Source organism: Homo sapiens, chromosome 5 (genome assembly GCF_000001405.40).
Source record: "Homo sapiens chromosome 5, GRCh38.p14 Primary Assembly".
NCBI classification, from domain to species: domain Eukaryota; kingdom Metazoa; phylum Chordata; class Mammalia; order Primates; family Hominidae; genus Homo; species Homo sapiens.
This window is the reverse complement of record NC_000005.10, coordinates 54378006-54401246: the sequence shown is the minus strand read 5'-3', so window position 1 is coordinate 54401246 and position 23241 is coordinate 54378006. Positions and strand designations below refer to the sequence as shown.

The following is a 23241-nucleotide window of genomic DNA, read 5'->3' as shown; positions in this document are numbered from 1 at the left end:
TCGGCCTCCCAAAGTGCTGGGATTACAGGCGTGAGCCACTGTGCCCAGCCACAGAGTATAATTTTTAAAAGAACTCCTTTTCTCTCCCGTACCAGAACAAATTGAAAAGTAGATGCAATGCAAGAATCAAACAAATAGATCAAAATATTAACTTTATTATTGATAGAAGCTAAATTGGAGGAGGTGGCCTAGACATGTGGCTACAATGAGCTTCAATACTTGACCTCCAAATTAGACTTACCTACCCAGTTATAGAAAGAACAGGACTTCTCACTTATCAGATTAGCTTATCACACAGAGAGCAAAACAAAAAGCACCTCTTCTGTGTTTTTTTTCTGTGTTTTTGTGGGGTCTTTTTGTGCACAGGTGCCTGCCCCTTGTGTAATACATCTAACAAAATCTGTCCTGCCTTCTTCGTTAGATCCCAGAAAGTCTAACACAGTTCTCAAGCTTTAGTATGCTGATTGCTGGGCCTGGAGAATCTCCATTCCTTTATAAATTCCCAGGCAATCTTGATACAGCTGGTCTGAGAACCACACTTTGAGAACCACTGGCCAAGTACCTATGATGCACTGATGCTTATGGGCATCTCGTTTTCATTCCCAATCTCATTAGTGTCCATAAAAATATAAGATAGATTTCACTAACCCTTCCCCTGCACTTGACAGACATGGAGAACAAGGCTCAGAAGTGAAGTCAGTGGGCCAAGCTTACATCCTGCTAGGCATGCAAAGCCAATCTTCAAACCCAGGTCCAACTCCACAGCCTGTGGTCTTCCCTCTCCACCAGGTTGCCACCAATTACTAAGGACTGAACATCAGTGCATAGTCTGAGTCTTAACAGTAATCTCCTAGAACTGTTTTCTATTAACTCCACTTTGCATCTTGTTTTTTATTTATTTTTTTATTTTTATTATTTTTATTTGTTTATTTAGTTATTATTATTATTATTTTTTGAGACGGAGTCTCACTCTTTCACCCAGGCTGGAGGGCAGTGGCACAATCTTGGCTCACTGCAAGCTCTGCCTCCCAGGTTCACGCCATTCTCCTGCCTCAGCCTCCTGAGTAGCTGGGACTACAGGCACCCACCACCACGCCTGGCTAATTTTTTGTATTTTTTAGTAGAGACGGGGTTTCACCATGTTAGCCAGGATTATTTCTATTTTTTAAAACTAGAACATTTATTTGCATGACTAATTGTTGACGTTCTGAAGCTAAACTGGATGCTGCAACAGCTGCCTTCTTGGGTTTAGGTGTTGTTCCTTCACAGAATTCATCCTGAATCTGAGGTGTACAATTATCATTATTATTTTTTGAGACAGAGTCTCACTCTGTTGCCCAGGCTGGAGTGCAGTGGCACAATCTCGGCTCATTGTAACCTCAGCTTCCCAGGTTCAAGCAATTCTCGTGCCTCAGCCCCATGAGTGGCAGGGATTACAGGTGCGCGCCACGATACCCAGCTAATTGTTTTGTATTTTTAGTACAGACTGGGTTTTACCATGTTGGCCAGGCTAGTCTCAAACTCCTGACCTTAGGTGATCCACCTGCCTCAGCCTCCCAAACTGCTGGGATTACAGGCATGAGCCACTGTGCCCGGCCGCAGTGTACAATTTTTAAGTGCTTCATTTGACCAGTACTGGTGGCATTTCATCTTTCAGCCCTGGCACTCAAGTTATACTTTCTCTTGCTCTTGTCAGTGTGGCCGCATTTGCAGCAGATCAACTTCTGAAGTTGGTAGGCCTTGGCGCCACTGCGGCAGCACATTTACTTCTTATTGCAATGCTTTTCAAATGGTGACTTTCTATTCATCGTCTTGTGTCTGTGGCCAAGACCAGACACTTCTCATCTTCTTGACCTGTAGTCTCAAGCACAGTTTGCTCCATTTTCATTTGTCAAACATAATTGTACACTATGCACAATACATTCAACTGGGTAATGTCCATACATGTTAAAAGTAGGTAAATATGTTTACCTTAAGGGGCAAGATTAAGACTATCAATTAACAATGGGCTACCATTCCAGAAGTTCCATAAAAGAAGTTAGAAAACGTCCAGCACAACAGATACCTAGCTGCTTTCCCTCCAGGTTTGCTCTCCACTTTCTCCACCCTCCTCCCTGCCCAGGAGGTGGACCTCCGTGACCTACATCAACAGTCTTCCTTGCCTTCTAGATTCCCATTGGCTTTCTCCTCTCCAATAGTGAACAGAGGGAGGAAGGAGAGTTCCCCAACTCCCTTCATGTAGGGTCACCTCGGACTAACTGCATTTTTCCATAAAGTACATGAGTCCTCTCAAGGCAGCTGCTCTGCCCTGAGTGATTTTATTTTTTTTTAAGACAGAGTTTCACTTTTGTCTCCCAGGTGGGGGTGCAGTGGTGCAATCTTGGCTCACTGCAACCTCCACCTCCCGGGTTCAAGCGATTCTCTTGCCTCAGCCTCCCAAGTAGCTGGGATTACAGGCGCACACCACCATGCCCAGCTAATTTTTGTATTTTTAGTAGAGGCAGAGTTTCACCATGTTGGCCAGGCTGGTCTCAAACTCCTGACCTCAGGTCATCCGCCTGCCTCGAACTCCCAAAGTGTTGGGATTACAGGCGTGAGCCACCGCGCCCAGCTATGAGTGCTTTTTTTTTTTTTTTAAGAGGTTTCAGGAACTCCTGTCTCCCCTATCCCTTGAGGCTCAAGGATAGTAATAGCTCTTAAAGTCCTGCACTATTGCTGTGGTTTTCCTCACCCTACCCATAGCTTTCTAAACAACCCCCTTATTAGTACCTCCTTGAATTATCCTAACTTGAGTGTGCTATTTCCCTTGGGGCCCTGAATGAATACATATTTAAGTACAGTTTACAGTTTGCCTTTCTTTGAGCTAGCCCAGGTGCCTTAGCTTAAGGTCTATGTCATCTTCCTAAAAGTCAGTAACTTCCTGCTGCTGCCCAGATGGTTATTAAAGGCATGAAAAACCACCTTCTGGGCCTCACATGTGCTTTGTAGGTAGAACAAATGGCAAGAGGCGACTTGGAAGGTTCTGCAGGCAAAATTCTTCTTATCAAAATTGCTGCTAAATTTTAGAATTCTATAATTTTCTACCTTATATTAGGCACTTATTCTAGCAAGAGGTAAATTATCCCTGGAAGAAAGAGATAAAGTTGTCAGTCAAAGACATTTGTGTTAAATGAGTTTCAGGTGTTTCTATTTTGGCTGCTAGCTGCAAGCCTGGTTTGAGAAAAAGGAAGATAAAATCCATCTAGGTTCTAGAATAATGGTTTTCAAGGTGTGTGGGGAAGATGGTTTTCACTGTCTTCTGGAAGGCATTTTGGAAATTATGGGGAGTCTTTGTGAGCCAAGGGCCAGAGATGCTAGTCTGCCTGTGCTGAAAGGGATGGTTCCACACAACAGAGAATAACTGTGTGGGAACTGTAATGCTCTAAGAGCATTCATGTTGCTGAGAAACCTGTTTATAATTACCCAGGCAAAGGGCTTATGTTTTCTTTTATGGAAAGAAAGAAGGGAAGAAGGGAAAGATGGATGGAAGGAAGGAAGGAAGGAGGGAAGGAAGGAAGGGAAGGAAGGAGAAATGGAGGAAGGGAAGGAGGGAGGGAGGAGGAAAAGAAGAAAAGGAAAGGAAAGAAGGAAGAAGGGAAGGCAGAAGAGAAGGAAGGGAGGAAGAAAGAGAGAGAAAGAAAAGAAAGAGCGAAAGAAAAAAAGGAAAGAAAGAAAGAAAAAGAAGGAAAGAATTTGTGTATGACTTTAATACTCACTGAAATTTCCAGGAATGCAACTGCCATATAAATTGAGGGACTATCATACATTGTTTTGTTTGAATTTTACCAAGCTGGTTACAATTAGAGAAAAACACAATTTTCAATCTGCATTTGTAGCTGCAGCATTCAAGGTGAGTCTACAAACATATTAAAGTGCCATAACTTCATTGTATCTTAATCTAGTGAGGTTTTATTCTACTATACATACTGAAATTTATAAAGAAAATCTCCTTGCACAAAATTTTAAAAAATTAATGTAATACACCAATGGAAATCTAATAGATACATACAAAGAAAGTAGTTATAATTATTTCATTTCCAGGTAGTCAAAGGTGTATATAGCAAAGTACCTACCATAGAAATGGTCATTGGATTTGATGAAATTTGGGACCCACAGATCTAAAGCGAGGTGTTCTGATGGCTGAAGGTACCACTGGGGAGGAGGTCCACTGCAGGGAAATCCCTCCTGGGGGAAAATTGCCACGAAAGAAGCTATGTGGAAAGAATGAGAAGGAAGTGATGACAATAAGGCCTAGTGTGTATCAGAAGCCTTCTAGTATGTGTAAGGCCTTGGAATGGGCCTTATTACTTATTGATAACACCATTTAAAAAAAAAATTACTGACTTCTTTCAAGACCGTGTGGCATTAGTTTATCTCTCAGTATCATCTGGCAGGGAGTGGATATTCAATGAATGTCAAAGAAAATCATTCAACAAAACTCTCCTTGAATAAATTGAAGATACTACCACTCATTACTAGAAACATTTATCAAAAAAGCAACCATGATTTGTAACTTCTTTACAAAGAGATCCTGTAATATTTTTTATCACATATGGTGACTTTGGTGGGTGTAATTTCCTATGTAACTTCAAATCTAAAATGTAGTGTTCACAGCCAGGTGAAAGGTTATTTGGCCAAACTGGAGGCCTCAAGGGCCCAAATAAATCAGGAGCCGACTTGTTTTGTTATGCTCATTATATTTCACATCTTGACAAGTTAAGAAATGTCTTGGGTATTTTTTAATGTCCGGAGTGCAATGACAGAGATTAATAAATCATCTGGAAACAGAGCTTCTTTATTAAGAACAAAAACTCAGTGAAAGCTAAACCCTGAGCCCCACTCCCTTCACCTGACAGCTGCTCATGCTTTAGGTCTCAAGCCCTTCCCTGAACCCCAAGTCTGGGTTATGGGTCCTTCATCTGGCTTTCCCAGGATCCGATACACTGACCCACGAGCTACAAGGGTAACTGCTTGATTACTTACCTGTTTCTCCCAGTAGACTCTTGAGGTCCATCCATGTTTCTCTTGTATTTGGCACACAGGTTGTCAGTGCTTAGTCAGTCGTTCAACAAATTATGCATTTGCATATTGCAAATGGCAACATTGGCTTCAACACTGTTCCACTGAGCAACCAAGGATAGGTGTGCCTTCACACATGGTTCCCACTGAACACCATCTAACACTACTTCTGTGCTTTCTACATTTTGTCCTCTAGCCCCAAAGCTCCTCTGCTTTATCTATTACCTTTTATCTCCAATCAAGTTGGGACTAGGAAGCATGAGAGGGCTGGGAAGTAGAAGAGTTACTATTCTTATCTGTTTATTTGACTGTTCAGTTTAATTTTAATAAAGATCAACTCCTTTTCTGTTTCAAGTCCCTATTCAGGCTTCAGTCAGTTGCGAGAAAGAGAAAACTGTTTGGTTTGGTTTGAGAAAATGTTAGTTTGATTGTTCATATGTTCCCAAATTTTAGCAGGCTGGGCCTCTGGGGTTTCTCATTATGGAGGCCTGAGATGGAGCCCAAGAATTTGCATTTCTAACAAGTCCCCAGGTGATGCTTGTGTTGTTGGTCTAGGGACCACACTTGGAAAATCACTGGCTGAGTAAGAATAAGTTTTAGCAAATGTTATTTATCTCCTCACCAGGTACTTGTCTTTAAAGATATCTCCAATTGTGAATAACAAAAAAGAAATTAGTCTCCTGTCATAAAAGATATGCAGATACCAAAAAGTAGATAGAATCTAAAGTACCAAGAGGGGCCTGAATATATACCAAACTCCTTAAGACAAACCTGGTTCTATTCTTCAGGTTAGGCTGAGGAGGCAGAAGTCCACTTCTTACAAAGCAGCCAAGTTGGGACCTGGCAAGAAATAGTAGAACTTTCTAAGGCCCAGAGCCTCATTCATCCTCAAGTAGGTCTGCTCCCAGCAATACCCACTTCTTAATCCTGTCTGAATGGGAAAACTATTCTGGCTGAATCTGAAGACCATCCAATGCATCTGCCTATTTTCCAAAACATTTGTTTTTGAGTTCACATCTATATCATGTATTACCTGCTAGGAACAAAGTTTCTAACAAGATATGGAGTTGAAATGTAATATGTTTTAGCTATCTTGCATGTGTGCTTTTTCTTTTTCAAAAAAATGTGAGCTCTTTTAAATATTATTGATCAGCTAACTTTTGCTGTATTTTCTTAAGCAGCTACTTTTTTTCCCCATATATCCTTTTTCTTTCTAAACTCCCTCATATGGCAGAGTCATATTTTTTAAATAGCAGTGAATGTGTACTATCCTACCTCTGCCCAGGCAGTCAAGGCCAGGGCAGACATTCTCACAGAAGCATTTCTGCTCCCAAAGCATGGCTAGGAAAGAACATAGAGAGCCCTTCAAATGGTCAGGGCATGGCTTGTGGTAATCAACAACAGAAAGCCAGTCAGGCCAGCCAGGGGAGTAGAGCCAGAGGTGTTCACCAGGATAGGTCACACTTCAAACCAAACAGTTTCCTCTTTCTTACAACTGACTGAAGCCTGAATAGGGACTTGAAACAGAAAAGAGGTTGATCTTTACTATAATTAAAAATTATTTCCTGAAAGCAAAATCAGGAATGCAGTCCCATTCATAATTGCCACAGATATAATAAAATACCCAGGAATACAGCTAACCAGGGCGGGTAAAAGATCTCTGCAATAAGAATTACAAAACACTGCTCAAAGAAATCAGACGTGACACAAACAAATGGAAAAACGTTCCATGCTCATGGATAGGAAGAATCAATATTGTTAAAATGGCCATACTACCCAAAGCAATTTAAAGATTCAATGCTATTCCTATCAAACAATGACATTCTTCACAGAACTAGAAAAAAACTATTCTAAAATTCATATGGAACGAAAAGAGATCTTAAATAACCAAGGGAACCCTAAGCAAAAAGAACAAAGATGGAGGAATTATATTGCCTGACTTCAAACTGTACTTCAAGGCTACAGTAACCAAAACAGCATGTTGGTACAAAAACAGACACATAGACCAATGAAATCGATACAGAGCCCAGAAATAAAGCTACACACCTATAGCCATCTGACCTTTGACAAGCTGATAAAAATAAGCAATGGGGAAAGGACTCCCTATTTAATAAAGGGTGCTGGGATAACTGGCTAGCCATACGCAGAAGACTGACACTGAACCCCTTCCTTACACGAGATACAAAGATCAACTCAAGATGAATTAAAGACTTAACTGTAAAACCTATAACTATAAAAACCCTGGAAGATAACCTAAGAGATACCATTTTGGACATAGGAGCTGGTAAAGATTTCACTACAAAAATGCCAAAAATAATTGCAACAAAAGCAAAAATTAACAAATGGGACCCAATTAAACTAAGGCGCTTCTGCACAGCAAAAGGAACTATCAACAGAGTAAGCAGACAAGCTACAGAATGGGAGAAAATATTTGTAAACAATGCATCTGACAAAGGTCTAATATCCAGAATCTATAAGGATCTTAAATATCTAGCAAAAAACAATCCTATTAAAAAGTGGGCAAAGGACATAAACAGATACTTTCCAAAGGAAAACATACATGCAGCCAACAAACATATGAAAAAATACTCAATATCAGTAATCACTAGAGAAATGCAAATCAAAACGAGAGTGAGATACCATCTCACACTAGTCAGAAAGGCTATTGTTAAAAAGTCAAAAAATAACAGATGCTGGTGAGGTTGCAGAGAAAAGGGAATGCCTATACACTGCTGATGGGAGTGCAAATTAGTTCAACCATTGTAGAAAGCAGTGTGGCGATTCCTCAAAGAACTAAAAACAGAACTACCATTCGACCCAGCATTCCCACTACTGGTTATATACCCAAAGGTATATAAATCATTCTACCATTAAGATACATGCATGTGTATGTTCATTGCAGCACTATTCACAATAGCAAAGACAAGGAATCAACCTAAATGCCCATCAAAGGTAGACCAGATAAATGAAATGTGGTACATATACACCATGGAATACTATGCAGTCATGAAAAAGAATGAGATCATGTCCTTTGCAGGAACATGGGTGGAGCTGGAGGCCTTTATCCTTAGCAAACTAATGGAGGAACAGAAAACAAAACACTGCATGTTCTCACTTATAAGTGGGAGCTAAATAATGAGAACACATGGATAGAAGCAGGGGAACAACAAACACTGTGGCCTTCTTGAGGGAGGAGGCTGGGAAGAGGGAGAGGTTCAAGAAAAAAAACTGTTGGGTACTATGCTTAGCACCTGCATAACAAAATAATCTGTACACCAAACCCCCAAGTCACAAGTTTACCTGTGTAACGAACCTGCACATGTACACCTGAACCTTAAATAAAACTTAAAATATTTTTCTAAAAAAGAATTATTTCCTGCATACCTTAATTTTGGGCAGAGGTTCACATCTGCTACACATATGAGCTCAATAACTGTGTTGTATTGTCTAATATTGTACGCTTTCTTAAGCTGTGAGTTTGTGGTTTTCTTTCCTTAATCAACAAAATCTTATCATTGATTATTCTTTGGGAGATAGTCTACCTATGGCTGTTTATTTTTTTATTTTTATTTTTATTTTTATTTTTTTGGAGACAGAGTCTTGCTCTGTCCCCCATGCTGGAGTTCAGTGGCGTGATCTCGGCTCACTGCAACCTCTGCCTCCTGGGTTCAAGCAATTCTTATGTCTCAGCCTCCTGAGTAGCTGGTCACCTGCCATCATGCCCGGTTAATTTTTCTATCTGTGGTAGAGATGGGGTTTTGCCATGTTGGCCATGCTGGTCTTGAACTCCTGACTTCAGTTGATCCACCTGCCTCGGCCTCCCAAAGTGTTGGGATTACAGGCGTGAGCCACTGCGCCCGGCCTGCTGTTTATTTTTTGGTGAAGCACTTTAACATTTAAGCTATATATAGTGAAGACCTGTGAACTTACCACTCCACTTGATTAAAAAAAAACACACACACACAAAACATTTTAGAGATATTTGAAACCCTCTGTGTTTTCCCCCAATCTCATCCCCTTCCCCACAAAGTGAATGCAACCATAAATGTTTTTATACTACATATCTATCTAAGCCCTGTAAACAATAAATAGTATAATTTTGCTTGTTTTAAGGTTTATATAAATACCATTTTGTTTGTCCTATAATTAGTTTTCACTCAACATTATGTTGAGACATATCCATATTGATACACACAGTTGTAATTCACTAATTTGTGGGATTATACCACATCTTGCTTAGCATTTTTCCAAATGATGGCAATTTCACTTGCAATATTTACTTTTATAAGGAATAATTTAATGAGTAGTTCCATAAATGTCACCTTGCACATGTGTGCAAAATTTTCTCCAGGATACATGCTACAAAAATATTGCTGGATTATAGCTATTACATACCTTCAACTTTTCCTGATATTGTTAAATTGCTTTCTAAAGTGGCTGTGCCAATTTCACTCCAAATAGCAGTGTTTGAGAGTTCCCATTGTTCCACATCCTTACCAAGTCTTGATATTGTCAGTTTTTATTCTTTTTGCCAATCTTGTAAGTTTGAAATTATATATTATTTAAAAATTGAATTTACCTGGTTACTAAAGAGGTAGTACATCTTATTTATGTTTACTGGCAAATATAATACCCTCTGTGTGAATCAGTTCGCCATTTTTCTTTTGGCCTTATTATTTTTCTTTGTAAGAGCCTTCAATTTTTATCAACTATGTGTTGCAAGCATATTTTCCCAGTCTGTGTGTGTGTGTGTGTGTTTTTGTTTTGTTTTTGCTATCTTACTGTATAGAAGTTTTAAGTTGCATGTAGTCAAATTTCAGTCTTTTTCACTGATATTTTTGTCTTATCTGTATGACCTGAGAGTTGGAGAATAATTTACATCCACAATTTGCCTAAAGGTTTTGCTTTTTCACATTTATATTCTTAATCTTCCTGGAATTGATTTATGTATTGGTGTGAGGTAGGAATCTAATTTTATTTTATTTTACTTTTTCTGTAAAGATAAGCATTTTCTCAGTGAGATTTACCCAGGATTCCTTTCCCCCACTGATTTATAATAGCACATTTGTCATTCAGATGTGTAAACCCATATGGAGTCTGGTTCCAGATTCTGTTCTGTTACACTGGTCCATTGTCTGCTCTTTTATTTTAAAGTGATGGTAAATAAAGCAGTTTATTAAAGCGTGTTAGTGTGTTTTCATGCTGCTGATAAAGACATACCCGACACTGGGAAGAAAAAGGTTTAATGGACTTACAGTTCCACATGGCTGGGAAGGCCTCACAATCATGGCGAAAGTCAAGGAGGAGAAAGTCCCATCTCACATGGTTGCCAGCAAGCAAATTTGTGCAGGGAAACTCCCGTTTTTAAAAACCGTCAGATCTTGTGAGACTCATTCACTGTCAATCACAAGAATAGCACAGGAAACACCCACCCACCCATATTCAATCACCTCCCACTGGGTTCCTCCCATGACATATAGGAATTGTGGGAGTTACAATTCAAGATAAGATTAGGGTGGGCACACAGGCAAACAAAAGTGATTCCCCCAACACCTTGTTAATCTCCAATATTTGACCTATATGTAGTCCTTTGTTCTCTCATACAGAAACACTATATCAATTAGTCAAGGCCCACAGACAAACAAAACAAAACAAAACAAAGTCTTGTTATGAGTATAACTCTTAAAACCAAATAGTTTTTTGTTTTTGTTTTGTTTTGTTTTTAGAGAAAACTGAGTACTTGTACCTATTTCACTCATTATTTGAGGAATTTATTAGCTAGAAGAAATGTACATTTGTTTCAGGCCTTAAAAATCCTGGGAGCACTGTCCTGAATACCTTCTGGAACCATTTGTATAGTAGCTTTGAGAGAGAATGACTTGGCCAAAAACTTTATTTTTCTAATCCCAGGGAAGATACAAACTCAGCAGTTGCTGTGTGGTGCTCTAAATGATTAGCCCAAAGACCTCCTACTGAGATCTCCATAAACTGGCAGCTTGGATTACTCAGTGATGTCACCCCATGCAGGTTTATGGGCAGATGGCCAAACCTTGACACAGGCTGCAGTCAGATCCCAAACAAGTACATACACATAGACTCTTCCTTGTCTATAGCCTAAGCCATGGTCTGACACAGCCAGGAAAAACTCCAAAGAGGAGTAGATCACAATAACCTGGTTTATTGGTTTTATATCATTAAGTTTCAGAAACGTTTTAGGACAAACAGCCTTTGTAAAAAGCCAACATCTATATGTACTTTTCTATTGCAACTGGCTTAAGTAATAAGTGTCCTATTTGCCTTATAGAATTCTAAATTTAGTACAATTTGCTGCTAAATATATAGAATTATATTATAGAACTGAAAAAGAACCTAAAGGTAATCTAGTTCAGTGATGGTTCCCAACCTTAGCTGTACTTTAGGATTACCTGAGAGGCTTTAGAAGAATCTCAATGACTAGACTTAGACTAACTAAATAATATTGGGCAGGTGATATGGTTTGGCTGTGTCCCCACCCAAATCTCATCTTGAATTGTAGCTCCCACAATTCCCACATGTAGTGGGAGTGACCCAGTGGGAGATAATTGAGTCATGGGGGCGGTTTCCCCCATACTGTTCTAGTGGTAGTGAATAAGTCTCATGAGATCTGATGATTTTATAAGGGGCTTTCCCTTTCACTTGGCTCTCATCCTCTCTTTTCTCCCACCATGTAAGACATGCCTTTTGCTTTCCACCATGATTGTGAGGCCTCCCCAGCCATGTGGAACTCTGAGTCCATTAAACCTCTTTTTCTTTATAAATTACCCAGTCTTGGGTATGTCTTTATCAGCAGCATGAAAATGATCTAATACAGCAGGAGACCCAAGTATCAGTACTCTTTTAACATTCTTTGAGTGACTTCATTGTACTGCCAAGATCGAGAGAACCATTGGCCTAATTCACACCTTTTGCATACTAAGAAAATGAGGCTTAGGTTAGGTGACTTTTCATTATGTTTTAAACTTACACTATCCGATATGGTAACCATTAGCCACATCTGGCTATTTAAATTCAAATGTATTACAATTAAATAAAATTACAAATTGAGTTCCTCAGTCATGCTACTCACTTTCAAGTGCTCAACACCCACATATGGCTACTGGTTACCATATTACACAGCACAGAAGAGACATTTTCATCATCACAGAAATTTCTCTTAGACAAGTAATTTTACATGTGTTTTTAAAATTCTTTTGGGTTTGATTTCTATCCAGGCATTTAGTAACTTCAGAAACATTTTAAACCATTATTCCACAATGATTAATATAATAAAATATTTTTAAGCAAGAATAGCTTAATATTAGCATGTACATCTGTAAAGTTCCTAATACCATAATAAAAGCAACAGCTTCCTAGGGAAGTGTAGATGTGACTCAAATTCACCCACACTCCACCCCTACCTCCAAACCAATAGATCATAATCCAGAAGGCCATTTCCCCTACTTGATTGGTAAGGAAAGCACACCGGGGGAAGGCGAGGAGGAGCTACAATTTCCCAGTGACCAGTTCGTCACTTTAAGAGCCAACCCACAAGCATGGCCAAGCACAGTCTTGGCTCAAGAAAAGCATAAATGAAATTGGTAGAGGACAGTCTCCTCCTCCTTATGGAAAAACAAGACACAGTACAAGAACCAAGTTGAAGTCGATTTTTCCATTCTCAGTATAACAGGATGTATCACCACTGCTGTCTTTTTTAAAATTATAGGACAGAATTTATCATCTAAAGCTTCTCGACCTCTTAAAGAAAACATGCCATAGAACATATTTCATAAAGCAGGTGTTAGTGCTAGAGGGATTCAAATCTGTTGTGTTGGTTATATTTTTGTCACTGCAACCACCTAGAAATATGTCAACATTTTTAAACTTTGTTTTTTCAGTTGTGTTATGAAATTGAAACTTGATATAACTGTACCAGAATACATTGTTCCTTGTCATGTAGCTCAATATTTCCATTCCCAAGTGCATTATATCAAGCCATGTGATAGTTATGCCTTAATTTAAACAAAAGCAAGCCAGAAAGCCAATAGTGCAACAATAAGCCAATTTCAGTGATTACAGTGTACTAGGCACTGTTCTAAGCATTTTACATGGATTACATCATTTAATTCTCACAACAACTCACAATGAGGTCAGTGCTATTATTATTCTCATTTTACAGATAAAGAACCCAAGAGACCCACAGCTGAGTAATTTGCTTAAGGTCACACAGCTAGTAAGTGGTAGAATTGAACTGCCAACCCTGGCAGTCTAACTGCAGAAAATAGCATTTTAATTGCTCCGCTGTGTTTTCCACATGCACATACTTCATAAAAAGGTCATCCTTGACTTATTAAGGTCAAGATAAGAGACACTGGAATAGACTGGTCTATTTGAGCAGTAAAAGGGACCCCATGTGGCAGCAAGGTGTGGACGTGGGTATATGCAGCCCTAACCACAGGTTTCCCAAGATTGCTTTATTGGGGAGATGCCTCATTCTCGCTTTGACTTTTATATCACCTACTCTCTGGCACAACACACACCCCTCGTTTTGCAAGGGCCACAGTAGTAGTTGCAACAAAAATGGTTACCAGAGACTAGGAAACAGCAGGAGAGCAAAACAAAACAGCAGTACCTGCAGGCGCTGCTCAAGTGGTTACACAATATTCCCTAGTGTCTGGGCCCTGGATAGACATGGAGGAGTAAGGTTTCCTGGCTCAAGGCAGGGGGCTGAGATGGATAGATATCTGCATTAATTAGATCATTATATAAAACATCACCTTTCTTAAGGCCATATTCTCTCGTTCATAACCTTTACAAATCTCAGCATGTTTCCACATTTCATCCACAAATTTCATCCACAAGAAAGACAGTCTGTCCCAATGTTACTGGTTTTCCAGCCTGAGCAAGCCAAATTATTTTCTCAACCAGACAGCAGCCTGACATTCTTATCAGCATCAGAGTGTTCTTTGGGTCTTTCATACCCACGGTTTCTTCGTTTATTGTTCTACAGACTAATACAACTTTCCCATGCAGCCTGGCTTTGAGCCCTTTGGACTTGTCCCCTTTTCTCCCAGCCCCAAGGATGTCAATTTTTTAAAAACAGACTTTTTTTTTTTAGTGGTTTTCAGTTCACAGCAAGCGTGAGCAGAAGGTACAGAGAGTTCTCATATATGCCCCCCAACAAACAACACATACACAGCCTCCCCAACTATGAATATCTCATACCAGAATGGTATATTTCTTATAGGTGATGAACCTACATTGACACATCATTATCACTCAAAGTCTGTAGTTTACACTAGGGTTCACTCTTGGTAAGGTAGATTCTTATGGATTTTGACAAATAATAATGACATGTATCGACCACTATAGTATCATTCCATTGTTTATTTTTAAAGGGTATTGTGTTCATCGGTTTTGTGCTGCTGTAACAGAATACCATAGATTGGGTAATTTATAAAGAACAGAAATTTACTTGTCATGGTTTTGGAGCCTGGGAAGTTCAAGAGCAGGGTGCTGGCAGGTTAAGTCTCTGGTTCCAATATGGCAGCTTGTTGCTGCATCCTCTGGAGAGAAAGAACTCTGTGTTCTCACATGGCAGAAGAGCAGAACAGAGAACACACTCCCTCAAGCCCTTTTTATAGTGGCTTTAATTCATTCATGAAGACTCTGTCCTCATGACCTAAACACCTCCCTCAAGGCCCCACCATTTAACACTGTTGCGTTGGGGATTAAGTTTCTAACATGTGTATTTTGAAGGGAACAAAAACATTCAAACCATAGCAGGTACCATATGTATACTTTGTCTTGAGAGTCCTCACTTGCTTTTCAGAATTCAAAAATGGTCTCATTGTTTCTGTGAGTTCACTACCAAGTCCTTTGCACTTGGTCTGACAGTGAGTGACAGCAGAGGCATCTGGGGCTCTGAGATACTCCTCGCACAGCCAGCTTAAGAGCCAGAACTCTGCAGTTGCCTTAGCAACAGCTAAAGTTTCCTGTCCCAGGCTAAAAAGCGTGATATCTCTTCATTTGTAAAAAGTCTATTTTATTCTCTCAATCTGCCTGGGGCATAAATATGCCAGGAATGGAACCCTCAGGGTTGGATTTCCTGTTCTTGATTTTGAAATAGAAGGTAAAATACTCATAGAAGGAGGTAAAAAGGAGGCCTGCACATGTTCTTATACTTGATAGCAGGCTCAAATATTCTAATATAGCCAGAATCTGAGCTAGTCAAAGTCTTAAACTTGCAGACGATTTGATTTTAGACCCAGCATTTTTTTTAATTCATCACAGAGAGAAATAATTCAATGGTCTTCATTTTGCAGAAATGAAGAAACTCTCTATCCCAGCTCTTGCATTTGAGAACTCTAATAGAATTTTGAAAGGGAAAAAAAGTGAAACATCTTTAAATGACTACATATTTGATCATGCCTAATATATCTTAAGTATTATTGAAGAGCTCAGAATATTCTCCAAATGTGAGCTCATTCTAGCCTAAAACACTTAGGAAGCCCATCAGCCTTGAATTAGACAATAGAAATTCTCTCCATTTCAACTCTCTTCTCTAATTGAAGCTTCCGTTTAAGCCCAAAGAGTTGCAATTTCTTTGTCTCTCCCTCCAGGTTCTCCAGACCATCGCTTATCCCAAAGCCTACATTTCTGCCTGTCTGAGACACAGGTATATAAATAATATTTAATCTTTCTTCCTTCCCTTGACGTGTTGACTGAAAGCTGAAACAAAAGGCATTATAATGTTAAAAATGTAAAGTTAATTTCACCTTAGCCAAGTTTGAGGACAAATAGCCCCTGAAAACACTGACTTAGCACAAACCGATAATGAGTCTCAGAGTGGGTTACATGAGGCACGGTATTCATGTGTTCCATTACATAGAAAATGAGAGAAAGGGGTAATAAAGTAAAGGTGACATTCTCACAATTCTGATTGGTGCTCAGAGACATTGTACATAAGATAAAGCAACAGTCTGGTTAAGTTATATAGGGTAAAAGGTTAGCAAGTATGTGGGCATCTTAGGGTCTGGAGAGGGATGATTGATTTTATCCTGCCTTTATGCTATATCTGATAGATAGGGTTGTATTATAATTCGTACATATCAGTGAAATATTTGACAGACTGCAGCCTTGCTGGTGAGGGTTCAGCTTTAATTCATAGGCCTAGTTTCTATTGTCTATGTCCAATCTGCAGCCATCTTAGACCACTTTTAAATATATTTTTCTTTCAGATTTTCCTTTTTCTGAAGAGTTAAGTACCTAGCTTCTAACAAACATCCACCAGATTTTATTTTAGAACTTGGAGAATAACTGAATTTCTTGAAGCAACATGATTCACATACTTCTACCGTCCTATAAGTTCAAATCACTGGGGGTGGCCACCGCCCAAGTGGTTATATGCACCTAGGCTTGGCAGGAAGTCAGGCAAAAGAGAGCATTTGGTACTAAGTAAATCCAGCAGCCTCAACCCAATTGCAACATCCACATCAGGAGGTCAGACATGCTCCTGCCCATCCTTTGGTATCAAGGGAGGCAAAGTATAAAGACTAAAAAAAGTAAATAGTATGCTCTTTCATCTTTCCCCTAGCAGAGGATGGCGGGAGGTTCTGGCACGGTGGAGAATAACCTCAGAAGTGCACCAGCGGGCGGTAGCAACGGCCGCACTGAAGCAGGTTAAGCACCCTGAGAAAAGTGGTAACATCTAGAGCAGGCTCTGCTCCCTGGCCTCACACCTCCATCCTACTCTGAGATAAAAAAAACTCCTCATCAGTTATCTTTTGGGGCTTTATACATAATAGATGTCCAATAAAGAATTCAATGACATGAAGGATCCCACATTGAGGAAAGAGCAGAGAAAACATGGCTGTAGCCTTTGTGAAATTAAATAATTCAAACTTAAAATAATTCAAACTTAAAGCTGTTTGAAATTGAAGTTATCCTGAGCCTTGAGAGGAATGTGGCTATGCAGCTTAAGTCACATGGCATGCAGCTGCAACTTCTGCCTTTTTTATTTTCTGTAAATAATTAAGAACAAAGTTCCCCAGAGATAAGACTCCCTCAGCTCACTACTCTTCCTCTTGGAGTAATAAAGCAATCTTCCTTAGAATGTAGCAGTTCGTAACCAATCAAATCACTGTGATGTGTGTGTGCACTGGTCGTGTATGGAAAATGTTGCCATGCTGCTGAAATTTAACTTCTCTACTTTGGAATGCTTGTTGCATTCATTTGGAGTCAATGTCTCTGGGTGGCTATCCTCAAACTTTGCACTCGAATAAACTCTATACTTAATATATTTTTTGAATCTCATTATTTAAGGTTGACACCTTTAAGGAACTTCTAAGTTTGTTTCTGGCTTGTTTATTTCTCAACACATACACACCATGGTTGGAGTACCGGCAAGGAACTATTGGGAGGGAGGTTTGACTAATTCTAGGGAGTAGAAAGGACAGACTCAGTGAGAAAAGCTTCACAGAGGTGATGTGCAAATTGAGATTACAGGGAGGAGTACAAAATGGTTAGGTTGGACAAAGGAGCAGGAGAGGCATTCTACCCAAAAGAAACAGACCTAGCAAAGGCACAGAGACCTTGGGTTATTCCTCAGGGAATAGGGAAGGACTTTACGTACTGACAGGCCTAGAAAGAAAGGATTCAGCTGGACTGGGAAAGCTTTGATTACCAAAAAGCCAAGATGAAGAACTCAAATGTCTCAGGAAACACAGCAGAAAACAAAGTGGTGCTGTTGCATAACATGTGGAGAACATTAGCACATTGTTTAAGGGCAATGAGTTTAAATTTCAGAATACCAAACTAGTCAGTCAAATACTTCTGCAGACCATACAGCTTGCTTCCTTCTCCATTCATATAGGGGTACAGGCTCAGAAGATAAGGGGACCCTGACTTCTAGGATACAGATGGGGCATCAAGAGATGCCATATCTGGGCTGGGCACAGTGACTCACACCTGTAATCCCAGCACTTTGGGAGGCTGAGGTGGGTGAATAATTTGAGGTCAGGAGTTCAAGACCATCCTGGCCAACATGGTGAAACCTTGTCTCTACTAAAAATACAAAATTAGCCCAGGCATAACGGTGCACGCCTGTAATCCCAGCTACTTAGGAGGCTGAGGTGGGAGAATCAAACCCAGGAGGCGAAAGATGCAATGAGTTGAGATTGCACCACTGCACTCCAGCCTGAGTGACAGAGTAACACTCTGTCTCAAAATAAAAGAGATACCACATCAAAGTTAACAAGAACATGTCTGAATAGGGAAAACCATTCAGGCACCAACACAACCTATGCTGAGGCTGGGAGGCAACTAGCAGACTAAGGACCTCAGCGACTTTCAGATTCCATACAGCAAGCAACTGTGAAATCTAACATTCCTTATTCTTGAAAATCATAGCACACCAGGTGTATCACAGGGTGATGACCAATGTTCCCAAATCAAGTAGGAGGAGAGATTTAGCCCATCATTTTTTATCATAAACTTCAGATCCTTCTCCGTGATAACTTTTAAAATTTTCCTTTTTTTTTTCCATGATCTGTGTTGCTGTATTAGATCAGCCTCCAAAACCCTGATTTATAAGCTTATTAGTTATGTACATTAGTCAGTGTTTGTTGTGTAACAATCACCCCTTAAATCTCAGTGGCTTACAACAACAAATACGATCTTCTTGTCCTCAGATCTGTGTGTCAGCTGTGGTTCTGATGAGTTCCGTTGGACTTGGCTTCCCACAGTAGGTTGAGTTCAAGCCTTTTCTGAATGCTTCTTTAATCTGGGAGCGAGTCTCAAGAACCCATTTCTAATTGAGCATATTCTGGAGCCATTGCTTTCTGAGGCATGCTCTTCTGATGGCAGAGCATAGGAGCTCAATAGGCAAGTGAAACTTTTTTTTTTTTGATTTTTTTTTTTTTTTGGTTTTCTTTTTTTTTTTAAATTGATCATTCTTGGGTGTTTCTCCCAGAGGGGGATTCGGCAGGGCCACAGGACAATAGTGGAGGGAAGGTCAGCAGACAAACAAGTGAACAAAGGTCTCTGGTTCTCCTAGGCAGAGGACCCTGCGGCCTTCCGCAGTGTTTGTGTCCCTGGGTACTTGAGATTAGGGAGTGGTGATGACTCTTAACGAGCATGCTGCCTTCAAGCATCTGTTTAACAAAGCACATCTTGCACCGCCCTTAATCCATTCAACCCTGAGTGGACACAGCACATGTTTCAGAGAGCACAGGGTTGGGGGTAAGGTCATAGATCAACAGGATCCCAAGGCAGAAGAATTTTTCTTAGTACAGAACAAAATGAAAAGTCTCCCATGTCTACTTCTTTCCACACAGACACAGCAACCATCCGATTTCTCAATCTTTTCCCCACCTTTCCCCCTTTTCTATTCCACAAAACCGCCATTGTCATCATGGCCCATTCTCAATGAGCTGTTGGGTACACCTCCCAGATGGGGTGGTGGCCTGGCAGAGGGGCTCCTCACTTCCCAGAAGGGGCCGCCGGGCAGAGGCGCCCCCCACCTCCCGGACGGGGCGGCTGGCCGGGTGGGGGCTGACCCCCCATCTCCCTCCCGGACAGGGTGGCTGCCGGGCGGAGATGCTCCCCACCTCCCAGACGGGGCGGCTGCCGGGCGGAGGGGCTCCTCACTTCTCAGTTGGGGCGGCTGCCGGGCAGAGGGGCTCCTCACCTCCCAGATGGGGCGGCTGCCGGGCGGAGGGGCTCCTCACCTCTCAGACGGGGCGGCCGGGCAGAGACGCTCCTCACCTCCCAGACGGGGTCGCAGCCGGGCAGAGGCGCTCCTCACATCCCAGACGGGGCGGCGGGGCAGAGGCGCTCCCCACATCTCAGACAATGGGCGGCCGGGCAGAGACGCTCCTCATTTCCTAGATGGGATGGCGGCCGGGAAGAGGCGCTCCTCACTTCCCAGACTGGGCAGCTAGGCAGAGACGCTCCTCACATCCCAGACGGGGTGGCGGCCGGGCAGAGGCTGCAATCTCGGCACTTTGGGAGGCCAAGGCAGGCGGCTGGGAGGTGGAGGTTGTAGCGAACAGAGATCACGCCACTGCACTCCAGCCTGGGCAACATTGAGCACTGAGTGAACGAGACTCCGTCTGCAATCCCCGCACCTCGGGAGGCCGAGGCTGGCGGATCATTCGCGGTTAGGAGCTGGAGACCAGCCCAGCCAACACAGCGAAACCCCGTCTCCACCAAAAAAATACGAAAACCAGTCAGGCGTGGCGGCGCGCACCGGCAATCGCAGGCACTCGGCAGGCTGAGGCAGGAGAATCAGGCAGGGAGGTTGCAGCGAGCCGAGATGGCAGCAGTACAGTCCAGCTTCGGCTCGGCATCAGAGGGAGACCGTGGAAAGAGAGGGAGAGGGAGACCGTGGGGAGAGGGAGACCATGGGGAGAGGGAGAGAGAGAGGGAGAGGGAGCAAAATTTTCTTTAAGATCAAAAGTACAAGTTAAGAAAATTATTTGAGTTTTATTCCTTATTCCTTAAACTATATGCAATATGCTTATATTTAGATATGGATAAATTAGGGTTTGTGAGATTTTTCCATCTACCTACGTTGTCTGCAAGGTCTGTGAATGTGACAGTCACTTTCTGTCAGGCTGCCAGAGGCCCAGGATTCACACTTTGAGAAGCACAAGTCTTGGGTGAGATTTTAATCACTTGAATGCAAATCCTGTAGGCTTCTGTGGATGCACATGTGTTTTCAGAGGGCAGGAACTATGACTTGGACATTGTCGTGTCCTCCACAGTATTTGACACCATACATGCCTCATACGTTTGCTGGACTGAATACCAACCCTGTCCAGGGAACAGCATGCCAGGCCTAGCTGGACTTGAGCACCCTGGCTGGCTTATTAAGTACTTGCCTGTGTGAGTGGCTGCCCTGGGTATTTGTGACTTGATTACAAACCCCTTAATCTCATCTAGGAGGAGGAAAAGGATGAAGAGCTTACTATGAGTGTTACTAACTGTGCTAGATACTTTATGTACTGTATTACATGTATTTTTCATAATCTTACAATGTATTTTTTTTCTAGTTTACTGGGGAGGAAATTGAAGTTCAAGTAGCTTCTCTAAGATTAGAAGCTATCGTACCTTTGCATGTTTGACTCCAAAACCCAAAATCCTAAGAGGAAAAAATCCCAACCCACTACCTATCAATAACGAAATGTGTTAACATGGCCTACCTGATAGGTGCTGTTCGGTGGAAATTCTAAGGTGGACCCTTTATACAAATCAGGCTCTATCAAGTTTGGTAAATAAACAAACCATGTTATGCACCTCTGATAAAATCAAGTTTCTAAACCTGCAAAATAAAGTGTGATGGAAAGAAATATTACCCTGCCCCCTGGTGACTCTGCCAGAACACATCCTCCCTTGGAGACTCAGCCTCTAACATGTGATCCATCTTACTTGTACAGCACACAAACAAACCAGAGAATGAAATTTCAGAAAAATCTCTTTGAAACCTCTTCTCCATTCACAGAAACAGTCCTGAACCTACTCCTCTCGAGCTCCATCTGTGTTCCCAGGGAGCCAGCCTGCTGAGATGCCTCTGTCCTCCAGGATAACCCTTATCACTGCAAGGAGGCTTCTCAAGGCTCTGTTAGCATTTTTTACTTCTAACCCACAGATTGCACATCAGCAATACAAATGTGCCCATAGTGAGCCTACAAATGGTGTAAGGCTCTGAAGAGCACAGAGTGACACTTTATTGGTAATAAAATCCCAAGCTAACTGGAGAGAAAGCATGAAAGCTTCTCAATCTGCTAGAGAAGGGGGAAAAACAAATCAAATAAGGTAAATTTTTCCTGTACCCCACTCCACTCACATTTTTTTAAAGCTTGATTTTTGCAAAGAGAAAGGCTCTTAAATTCTACAATTAAAAATCATGAAAGAGACAAAGGGAAAGAGTGAGACAAAGAAACAGAGACACAGAGAGACAAAGAGAGAAGAGATGTCCAACAGAGATGTAGTTGGAGAAGTCAGTGGGTCTGTAACTCCGAGTTCTATGACTTCCTTGGACCCAAATCAGAGGATGTCCATCAAATGCATTACTGATGCAGGATTTTTCTCGACCGCTTTGTTGGATTTGCGACGGGGGTGCCCCATTTACTCAGCCCATGGTGCTCAACCCCTTGCAGGAGGAAGCATGTGAGCAAGTGAGTGGAGGATCCAGCCGGCCATTTGGCCGCTAGCAGGAGCAAGCTCCATGTGGGCCCTGCAGCCAAACCAGGTGTGAGCAAATGAGTGCGGGATCCAGCTGGCTGGTTTGGCCACTGGCAGGAGCAAGCTCCATGGGGACCCCGCAGCAGCACCCAGGTGGGGGCGCCTGTGACCCCGAAGCTCCAGAGGGCATGTTACAGTGCTCTCTTAGATCCACCATCCATGGACAGCAGTGTGTTATCAGCTCATTGGGCCCCTTGCCTCATTGCATGGGGCAGCTGCCCTCTGCCAGCAAGGGCAAAGAGCCAGTATGAAAGCCTTTTCTGGGTACCTGTATTCAGTGGGTCCTGTGCTCTCGTCTGGCATCAAAGAAGAATGAGGTTGCACAGACACTTGAAAGATGGTGGAGGCAGAGAATTTTATTTAGTGGTGGAAGTGGCTCTCAGCGAGAGGGAAGCTAGAGAGGGGGCAGGATGGGCAGGTAATCTTTCCCCAGAGTCTGGTCATCTTCGGCTGGCTCTTCCCTGAAGTCAAACTGCCTCTCTGAAGCCAAGCCATCTCTACTCCAAAGTCCAGCCTTCCCTCTGAAGCCAAGTTGCCCCTCTCCCTTCTATATCAACTGAGCCTGGGGTCTTTATAGGCACACGATGTGGAGGGGGCGGGGCAAGGCAGGCCATGTGTAGTTTTGGAAAAAGCAACATTCAATTGGTAAAAAGACATTATCCAGAAAGAACCAATTGGGAGAAAGTGGGCAAACAGGGATAGAAGTTCTCACTTTGGACTGCAGGCTTCAGGCTTTTCAGCTGAAAGGTGGTGTTTCACTGGGAACCTGCCCCTGTCTGCCTAGAATTTCTCTGCTTCCTGCCTCTATCATTACTATCCAGATATTAAGAATGATGTACATTCTACTTGACATGGAAAGACATTTATGACATTGAGTAAAGAGAAGAGTTACAAATTAATATCATTCTATATTAATGTATT

At 41.7% G+C, this 23241-nt stretch overlaps 1 long non-coding RNA gene and 1 pseudogene across 1 annotated transcript in view, besides 2 other annotated features; both read right to left on the bottom strand.

Moving 5' to 3' along the window:
• Positions 1 to 23241, bottom strand: part of LINC01033 (long intergenic non-protein coding RNA 1033) — a 94182-nt gene that overhangs the window by 13879 nt on the left and 57062 nt on the right. The gene's annotated exons all lie outside the window — the stretch shown is intronic.
• RPL37P25 (ribosomal protein L37 pseudogene 25) lies at positions 1214 to 1808 on the bottom strand (annotated as a pseudogene).
• Positions 10449 to 10578: an enhancer, noted in NCBI's record as "active region_22549". NCBI's record gives its function as "activates an Ori minimal core promoter by ATAC-STARR-seq in GM12878 lymphoblastoid cells {active_cell/tissue: GM12878}" and the evidence as "EXISTENCE:reporter gene assay evidence [ECO:0000049][PMID:35858748]".
• Positions 10589 to 10718: an enhancer, noted in NCBI's record as "active region_22548". NCBI's record gives its function as "activates an Ori minimal core promoter by ATAC-STARR-seq in GM12878 lymphoblastoid cells {active_cell/tissue: GM12878}" and the evidence as "EXISTENCE:reporter gene assay evidence [ECO:0000049][PMID:35858748]".